Raw genomic sequence first — 10117 nt, 5'->3', positions numbered from 1 at the left:
ATCTCAGGCACGTAGAATTCTGTGATGCCTGGTGGCTTCTTCAGAAAGTGTTTCTCCTCCTCCACCCTACTCCTCAATCTCAGACTTCAGCATGAATTCATTACACCAACTTGCTAGCTCCACCCTTCTCTCTGTTGGGGGCCAGGGGCAGGGGTGGTGGGGAGTGATGGCTTTGCAACCCAAGCAGGAAGCAGAAAAGGAAGGGACAGGATTACTAGCAAACCAAAGGTCACCTAGAGTCCCTGGTACACTTGGACAACAATAAGCCCACACTGGTGGCTCTTTTCAGGAGGATGTATGAATGCTGCTTACCTAAATGCCAAGCCTTCACAGGCAGGTCTGAGTGTGCACCATGCCACGTGCTGCCTGGTTATGCATTTATATCAAGCATCACAACACACCCCATTGTTGACCCTATAGAGCATCTCAGGAACTACACTCAGATCTTACCATAAGTCACAGCAAACACAGTTAGGAAGGAAAACGTACTAGAGAGTAGTTGAGTAGATATACATCAAAGTGAAATAAACCACAGTTGTTCAGAAAGTCAGTTTGCAAAGTTAACGACAGACAAGTTCTGCCCAGGCTAGGCCTTGCCGCCTTGCCCCTCTGCACCTTGGCACCTGGGGCAACAGGAAGAGAGAGCAGCTGTAACTATCACCTCGTGGAAGCTTTGGTTTCCCCTTTTTGCAAAGCTCTGCTCTGAGAAAGATGTGCTTCCCAGGAAAAGAGAGAGGGTGATTTGGTTTGCAGGCATAGAGAATGTTTCCACAGCAAAAACTCATCAGCAGTATGTTGCAGTTTTTAAAGAGATTGCTTTCACTTGAGAAAGGTTTTTAAACCAATGGAAAGGTTACAGGAAGAAATACAGAACACTGGTGATGCTGAGGGCAACAGGAGAGCTTTCATTTTATTCATTCTTCATGTATTCATTCAAAAGTGCTTGATAAGTAGCTGCAATTTACTTGACTGTCAACCAAAATTGTGAGAATCCCAGTATGATTTCAAATTGCCCTTTTAGGAAATTAATTAGAAAAGTGATAACGAGTAACTTTTTGTCATCAGTTCTAAAAAGCCATTTGTGAATTTACTTTTATACAGGTTTTGTGACAGTAGGGCCACCAGACATTTTGTATTATACATGCCACTCCTGCCAACCATAGATGTGATATTTAGAGATGATTCTGTGCAGTTGCCAGAGAAAACATGACATATGCATAAACCCAAAGTCGTTTGCTAGTGTTGAGTTTAACTCTCTAGTTTAGAGATGATCAAGAGTTCATCTTATGTGGCAGCTCCATTGGCTGGGGTGCTGTGTTGAGACATCTCCTGAGGCCAATATGGATCAGTAGAAAAAGTGCCTTAGGATCTGGGCAAGAGGGATACTTGGCATCCTGGCTGTTCCATCTTGAGGGCTGCATCCCAGCATCCTTCAGGCCTACTGACCAGGAGCATTGTCCAGCTGTTCATTTTCTCCTAGGAAAGCATTCATGATGAGGTCTGGGCTCTTTTTTCCAGGGGCAGGTCTGAACTGGAGAGATGAGTCGCATGGCTAGAGCACGATACCCAAGTGCTGGGCCCAGACTGTCTGCCACTTCCCTCTCTGTTCCACACAGCCAGCAACAGAGCAAGCTTTTTCCTCCCAGCAGAGCGCCAGTGTCAGGCATGGTGGAGGCAAGGCCAAGCAACCCTGGGGGCGATAGAGGCAACCGGCTTTGGGTTGGACAAGCCCAGTAGACCTATTTCTCCTAGGACCATGAAAAGCCTGTCCCCCACATTTGGCTGGGAGCTAACTGTTAAAGTTGCAGCTCCTTGAGAGTTAACTCCAGAGACAGCTGCACTCCTCACCTTGTGTCTGCATAATTAACCAGCAGTTGTTCCTGCTTTGTGGAACATGGACCAGGCAACCCCTGTGAGGTCCTGTGGGGACATTCTCAGTCTGACTGGCAGGCAATTGGCAGGCAGACACAGCTTCTGCAATGCTTGACTGAAGGGACTGAGGACAGTCCAAGTTTTTCTTTCCCACCTCAAGTCACATTTATCCTTCTCTTCTGTCTCCCTTCCTCAAGACCCTCCCATCATGACCAGCCCCTCTGGACACTGACCCTGCTATTCTCCTGAGGTGGTCCAGATCGGCCCTGATATCTGCTTCTGGATTGGAATTTGAATTGAATCCCGAAAACCTTAAAATGTAAATTCTACAGTGTCTAAGCTAGAAGAACCTTAAATATCTTGTGGACAATCTCACCGTTATGCAGAAAAGGAAAGCACGTTGGCATACCCAAGGACACACAGCTGGCCAGGGCAGGGCTCAAGCCAACTCTAAGGGCTGATTATGGCCAAATTCCACTCACATTTCATCCTACCCAAAACCCTACAAGACATTCAGTCCACAATCATCTGGAGCTGCGTGATCTCCCTAGATAAGCTTCATGCCATCATTTTAACTCACATTTCTATACCTTCAACACTAACATCTTATTTTAATTCCAGACCTATTTTTTTAGGTACCTAAGATTCCTCAGATGCAACCCAACAGAACCTTGTTGCCTTCTTCTTTCCTAAACCTATGCAATCTTCTGTGTTCTTGCCTGTCTCCATTACATTCTTCTGGATGTGGATCTATTCTGGGAGGGAAATGAAGTGCCTGTTCCTCTGGGAGAGAAATGAAACATGTCTCCCGGCCAGATGGCCACAGGGAAATTGCTCTGGGGCTGAACCTCAGACATGAAGATGAACATGAGGCTACCATGATGACTGGCTTCCCCTAGTGGACTCTCAGGGAGTGGACACAGAAGCTTGGACATCTGACATCTCTCTGTTCTCATCCAGCCTCAGCTGTCCACATTCAGGGACTGAAATTCCTTCCTCCCAAGGGATTCAATCTGTGGTAGTTCAATCTCTTTCCAGGCGAGGGAGGTGTGTTAGAACCTAGTACTTCCCAAAGGTGAAGTGAAACCTGCCTCTCTCTAAATTCCACATTGCTAATTAAATATCCCATGTGACTGTCTATATAATATTAAACATGACCCCCATGTTTCCCAGACCAAACACCGTCCCTTCTCTAGACCAAGCATCTTCAGGTCCCAGTGCTCATGGGACCTAATCCCCAAACCACCCCAGATACACACCCTGTTTATGCCCATGGGGGTTAAACCCTGCATAAGGTGCTAAGGACAGACCTGGGTAGAGGAGAACTTCACCTCATGTGCCGTGTTCCAGCAGGAAGGTCAATCTGCTTGAAAACTGCCTGAGGTTACAGCAGTTGTGTGGGCCGCCCAGTCCACAGGTCCTCTTCCCAATCCTCCAAGAAAATGGGGCACAATTTCCATCGCAATGTCTCCTTCCTGCCCTCAGCCAGGACACCTGCCTTGTTTTCTCGCAGCCTCTCCTACACTTTTTTCAAACTCCTTCTCAGATCCTTCCTCTTCTATGGGTCTATGCTATGTGCACCTCTTTGCTGAAAGTAGGAGTGGGTCATTGCTCTTAAACATTACTTATAAAATGAGGAACTGAGCTGGGCAGTCACTAAGGTCTCTCCTCACCTTATATATCCTGTTATTTATTTGTCTTATCTGTTAACTTAATCACAGCTTCTAGTTTGCCTTCCTCCTCAAGGGCACGATAGGGTCTGACCCAGTTCTATTGCTAAATAAACACTTGCTTATTAAATTGAGTTGATACATATTAAGGAATGGAATGAACCAGGAAAGCGAGCTGTTGATAGGGAAAAGGTAGGTGCTGGTACAGAAACAGGCAGAGGAGGGGGCCCTTCCCCAGGAAGGTGACTTGGGTCAGGACAAGAAAGATGGGAATAGGCTAGAAGCAATGGACAACACTCAGAAGGGAAATAGGAGAGAGATCCTATCATGGCTACGCCTCTTGTTTAGGATTCTGGGTTAGGGTGGCTGTCGAAAAAGAGATTGAAGGGCAAGGGATATGATTGTCATTAGTCCAGGAGCTTCAGAATCAGGATTTGCAAGCCACTCACATCAACACTCTCAGCCTCCGTTTCCTTCACCTCCAAAATGAGAGACTTGTAGCAGAGCCTCAAAGTGTGGTTTGGGCTTGTTAGGAATGCAGGGTTCCGGGCCCCACTCTGGGATGGAATGGGCATTCAGCCAGATCCAAGGAGATGCATGCTAAAGTGTGAGAAGTGCTGTCCTGGACAACCTCTCTGAGATTCTAAAGCAGAGATTGTTGAGTGAGCCTCCATGATGCTCAGAGTCCGCTGCACCATAGAATCGCCTGGAGAGCTTCGAAAATCCCACGCCCACAAGAGAACTTTCTGGGATGGTGGATTATTCTACATCTTCACCGGGGTGGTGGTTACATAAATGTATACATTTGTCGAAACTCATGAACTGTACCCTTTCAATGGGGATATTGTAGTATGTGCAAACTATGCCTCAATAAAATTAATTTAAAAAAAACTATCCCTAAACTTAAATCATTACTTAGAATAAGGCTGTAATAAAGAATACTATATTTAAGAATATCAAGACTGCCTTGAAATATACTGTATTTCTCCCCCAAGGAAGGGGCTGTGCTCAGGAATAAGTCTGAGTTGGCTCATTTTCTAAGGATATAAATAAATGTTTCTTTACCTGATGCCACAGCCTATACCAATTAGGGCAAAATTTCTGGGTATCTTTTAAGCCTCTCCAGGAAATTCCAATGGGCAGCAGGGCTGAGAACTGCTTGAATGCCTCTTGCAGATGTTAGCAGTCAATCCTTACCATACCGCTGCATTGGGATCTTTCCGAGTGCCCAGCATTGTGCAGAGGGCAAAAGGTGGAGAGAGAGAGGAAAGCAGGAAACACACTACGTCTCTCAGTCACTGATGGTCTGGTTTGGAATATACAAGGCTGGACCTACCCAAAAAGCATGAAGTTACTACTGAGGCAGGGCCACTCTCACAAAGAGTTTGAGTCTCTGGTGTTTGGCTGGAGCCTCCATCCTCGCCCTACCCAGGCCTATCCCAGCATCTTGGATAATGTCAAAAGGCATGAGTCCCTTTCATATTATGGCAGGCCCCATGGAAGACAGCTACATCCTGCTTCTCAAACCAGATAAAGGCAGAGAGCACTGCCCTGGAGCTGCTGCTTCCAGCAGCCTGGTCTGCCTCCTACTCTGCCAGCCCAGCAGAAGATGCCCAGACCCACCAGAGTGGCAAGGACATGGTGACTTCTTGGAGGTCACAGTTATTCACCTCTGAGGTTGCTTGTGAGAGTCCTCCTCTCAGCTCCCATCCGACTTCTGCTTTTATAGATTAGTAAGTGGAGACTCAGAGAAGTCAAGCAGCTTCCCCAAAGTCACACAGCTAGAAAGGTAGAAGGGAGACCTTGAACCCATGCCCTCTGGCTCTAGAGCACATGCTCTTTCCAGAGTGCCACATGCTCCCCATTGGGCGGCAGGCTGAGATCTCCCCTCCCTTATGGATTAGCCAGAACCGATCAATTGCCCTACTATGCGGTACTGACTGGCTCCCTGGGACATGGGAGCAGGAAAATGAGGCAAAGTAACAACGGTGCTGTGTGTTGAGGGGGGTCGGGGTCTCTGGGTGACATCCCCTCAGCATGCAGTCCCAGGGAAATGCAGCCACTGGAGGGCACAGGTGCGTGGTGCTGCCTCAGAAAGAGGAACCACCATGTGCGAGCGGAAGAATTCAACTCCAGGAGGCGAGGGCATGGCGAGCCCCGCTGCCCCTCCCCCTTTGCCAGGGCAACGTGGGATGTCAGACAACACTATGGCCACCTCATTATTGGGCTGCTCGGCCATTGTCCCCGGGACAATGATTTCCGGCCCTGGCTTTATGTGGGGCTGCCAGCCGAAGTTATTAACCACGGGAGCTGCCTTTGAGGGACGTCCAAGGGAGGGGTGAAAGGTCACTGGAGCAGCGAGGGGAGCGGAAGTGGGAGGGAAAGGCAGCACAAAAGAAAGGGATGAACCCCCGTCCCCCTCCCCTGAAGGAGCCCCAAACAGAGCTGCGCCCAGAGGGAGGCATGCAGAGGCGCTTTCAGAGGAAGTTCTTGCTGCTGCAGCGGGACAGAAGCAGCTGGGATGGCTGACCATCCTGATAGGCCTTGGAGGTATCAGCGTGGATAGGGATACAGGCTGCACGTGGAGAGGACTGAATGAGTTGGTGGGGGGGGGAGGTGGGGGACGGGAAACAGGAGGCGGCAGCAGAGGTTGCGCTTGGGGCTTCTCAACTCACTCCTTAAATAGGTGTTTGCTTCTCAAGCCCTCTGATGTCCGTGACATCTGCCTGTGCCCCAACCCTCAGAGAAGCAAACTAGAGGGACCCCAATATGTTGATCCTGGTAAAGAAAGGTGCCCTTCTTCCCGAGGCTGCCCGTGTCAGCCCCTGCAGGTCTGGATGGTGCTGGCGAAGACACCATGGTTTAGGCTTGTCTGGGCGGGTGGTCGTGGAAATTTGGCCATAGATGGAATTGCAAAGGTTGCGTTAGTTATTCAGTGCCAATCTGCCTTTAATGAGACAGGGAATCTGATGCCCAGACAGGGAGAGGACTCTATCAAGGGCACAAACCCAGCAATGGGCGGAACTGAAACTTGGTACATTATCTGTTCCCTGCCCTTGAGAAAAACTGGACCTCTGGTGTTTGGCTGGAGCCTCCATCCTTGCCCTACCCAGGCCTATCCCACCTTCTTGGATAATGTCAAAAGGCATGAGTCCCTTTCCTAAGATGCCAGGCCCCATGGAAGACAGCTTTGTCCTGCCTCTCAAACCAGATAAAGGCAGAGAGCACTGCCCTAGAGCTGCCGCTTCCAGCAGCCTGGTCTGCCTCCTGCTCTGCCAGCCCAGCAGAAGATACCCAGACCACAGTGTGCTGCCCTCCAGAGCAGGGCTAGAAGGCGCGGATCTTTTGGTCATGAGGCCCCAGGAGGCCCATAGCTCATCCAAGGTTGAGGGGTCAGGGCAGGAACTCTGGTCTCGCTCATCACAGTCTCTCCTCCAGCCAGCACACAAGGACGGGACACAGGCATGGGTAGGTGGACCATCAGCTGAATTATAAGAAAGCATTTATAGTTTATCTGCAAGTTTGGATATGTCAGGACATTTGATGCGAAAGTATGAATTATTCTACCCAACTTTTATATTTAAGGTTGTATGTTTTTTAGAACTAGAAAGAATGCTTCAGTCCCACAATATGGTTGGTTGGAGAGGAGAAGAAAAAGAAGACATCAAAAAGAAAATTAGTGCTGGCTGGATATAGAGTATGAGGATGTGGAGCTGGGAAAACAGAGGATGTGGTGGGATGGGGAAGGAAAGGTTGTGGAAGGCCTGCACCCCGTCTCAGTTCCTCCACTGCTTCGTCCCAGATTCTGTTTTTGTTTTCCTGAATCAGACTTAGTCTCCCTCCATTCTCCCGTCCCCTGTGTGCCCCCATCCTGGTCCTGCCTCACTGGACAGCCTCTCCGCGGCCTTCCTCCTCCCTGCTCCAGAATTCTACCTGGTACCCCCCAACCCCACTCGACTCATTGTCCACCTGGCCTCTGAGGCCAGGCACCCTCATTCCCCTCTCCCACCCACCCCACCCAAGGAAGCCCAGCACAGACCATCTCAGCTCACTCCACCCTCACTTCTTTACCAAATGCATTTCCAAACACCCTCATGAGCTTTGCTGATCTCTTTGCCATCTCTCCCTGCCCTACTCCGAGGGCTCCTCCTGCCTGGTGAAGACTGCCCTGGGTACCCCAGAACTGAACCTGCAGCAGCCAGCACAGCTGACCTTGGGGCGATAAGCAGCCAGGGAAAGGCTTTCTTAAAAAAAAAAACAAAAAACAATAACTCAGTAAGCAGATTAAACAAAGGTAGAGACAGAGCCCTCCACCCCTCTCACACACACACTCATCCTCACACCCAGCTATACCACACCCCACAAATGTTGCTTATGTTTCCTTGGTCATTCTGTCCATCCTCCTGTCTGTCCAAAGCCAAGGACACTGCTCTACTCTAAATTTTTTGTCCCGAAGCCCCCAAATACTGCAACCCTGACCCAATACATGAAGCCACCCCAAAATACAGCAGAGGACACCAGGACTTTCATTTTCCCTCAGTATGGCCCATCCTTTGGGTATGCCAACTCCATGTCCACCAAGCACTGCATGTAGGACAGGGCACAGTTTGGAGGCCTTGGTCCAGCCACTGCCCCAGACCCACCTTGGCTCTCTCCTCACTAACACCCAAGAAGCCCAAACTTCCCCGTGTTTAGCAACAGATTAAACTCTAAGCCAACAACAACAGAACAGGGTGGAGTGAGTGGAAAGCAAATGAAATGTTAAAAAAAAATTAAGCAATACTTGCATTCTCATTAGTAGGAACATGTGAGATGAAGCACGTTATGTTATTAGGCATTCTCTTGATTCAGTAAACACAAGCTGAATAAATTTATAAATATCAGCATTAAGCGAGATTTAACGGGGAGCTGTTTATCTTCTGCCTGTCAGGCTGGCGGCAACACTCTCCATGTATCACTCGCCAGCCGTGCAGTCCTCACTCTCTTGCCCAGGTAAGCTGGGGCAGAGCCTGCTGCAGCCCAACTCTGGTTGTGGAAGGGCTGGCACCAAGGAGCTGCGAGCTTACCTCAACTCATCTCACCTCACCATGCCGGCTGCGAGGCGGCCCGTGCAGTCCGTGCTCAGGAGGTCACACTCCCATGCTGCATCCCAGCCTCTCCAGAAGCAGAGCATGACCTGGGTGACTTTGAGGATGCTATTTAACCTCTCTAAGCTAAAGCTCCTCAACTGCAGCATCAACAGATCAGTGCCGACCTGTTAAGGCCGTCGAGAGCATCAAATGCTACTGTTCAGCAGGTGCCTGACACATAGTAGGTCCACAAGCAAATGGTTTTCCTGCTTGCATCATTTCTAGCACAGAGCTGGAGGAAATGGCGAGGTGCAGGTGGCCGCTGGGCCCTGCTGTTCTACATGGGAGCAAGACAGCTGCTAGGTGAAGGGGAATGACCAGGCAGCCACAGGGAGGACATGTGGCCTCAGGAAGCCTGGGGGTGTATCCTGGTTCTGCTAGGAACACGTGTGGGGCTTTGTGTGGGTGACTCTCTGGCTCCCCAAGCCTCCCTTTCCTACTATTATATCCTTAAAGTGCCTCTGAGGCCAAAACCTTTGTGGCAATTGTCAAATGAGTCCATATGCAGTGAGTATTGTGTTGAGGGAGGACAAGGTCACCAAGAGCTGAGAATGTTTCTCCGAGTGATAAGACCTAGATATTGGGTACATGGAGGTCCCCGGTCCCTTTGTGATTCCTGCAGCCTGTTGCCTCCTTGCCTGGACCCCGCCTCAGCTCAGAAAGCCAATTCCCTAGATTCCAAAGGCCTTCCCAGACCAATTAGCATGTCCTGCAGCTGTCAGCTCCCTGTGCCTAGCCTGGACCTCAGCCCATGTCTAGCACCCAGTCTCCCAACCCCACACATATTCACAAATAAAAGAAAATAACAAATGACATAAATTCTTCACTCCTGGTCTGGCTTGCTGTGTGTAAACTGCTATGGCAATACAAGACGCAGAGGCAGGTACCCAATAAAAGCTGTTGAAAATGTGACTGACACCGATTTTCAGCTCTCCAGGAAGGCATGGATCCTTACAAGGTCCAAGCAGAGTCCTCGAGAATAGTTGAGAATTCTTGGGTTCCATAGGAACACAGGAGATACCCACACAAAAGCTTGGATTTCCCAATACATGACTACCCCTGAACACTCCTTCTTTCCCTCGTCTCTCTGCTGAGACCTCTAGAGCCCAAGGATCCACCCAGGACAACCTCTCCAAAGGTACCCTGATATGCTTTTCTTCCAGGCAGCATTTCCACAGAGCTGTGGGTGAAAGTCACAGGATGAAAATGTGCCATGGGACTGTATCTCCCACCAACACACTGCAGGCAAGGGGCACACAGAGTGCCCCCTCTGCCCATCCCAGGAATGGCCATCTAAGAATGATGCGATCTTTTCTAAAAAGAAAGTAAATAAAGGCAGGTGCCATATAAGAAGACCTTGGGGGACTATGGGAATTTTCCTTAATGTCTCAGAACATCTGCCTCCATCAATGAAATGAAGGATTCAAAGCAGCTCATTCCTGAGTT

At 49.4% G+C, this 10117-nt stretch overlaps 1 long non-coding RNA gene across 1 annotated transcript; it reads right to left on the bottom strand.

Annotated features, from left to right (window-relative positions):
* Positions 1-882: 882 nt before the first annotated feature.
* Positions 883-4057, bottom strand: LOC101926959 (uncharacterized). The gene is made up of 2 exons (XR_007087142.1): positions 3183-4057; positions 883-1690 (listed from the first exon to the last, which is right to left on the bottom strand). It is a non-coding gene; the product is annotated as an uncharacterized LOC101926959 (long non-coding RNA).
* Between the last annotated feature and the right edge of the window lie 6060 nt (positions 4058-10117).

This window comes from Homo sapiens, chromosome 2 (genome assembly GCF_000001405.40).
Source record: "Homo sapiens chromosome 2, GRCh38.p14 Primary Assembly".
In the NCBI taxonomy this organism is placed as follows: domain Eukaryota; kingdom Metazoa; phylum Chordata; class Mammalia; order Primates; family Hominidae; genus Homo; species Homo sapiens.
This window is presented reverse-complemented; position numbering and strand designations above follow the sequence as displayed.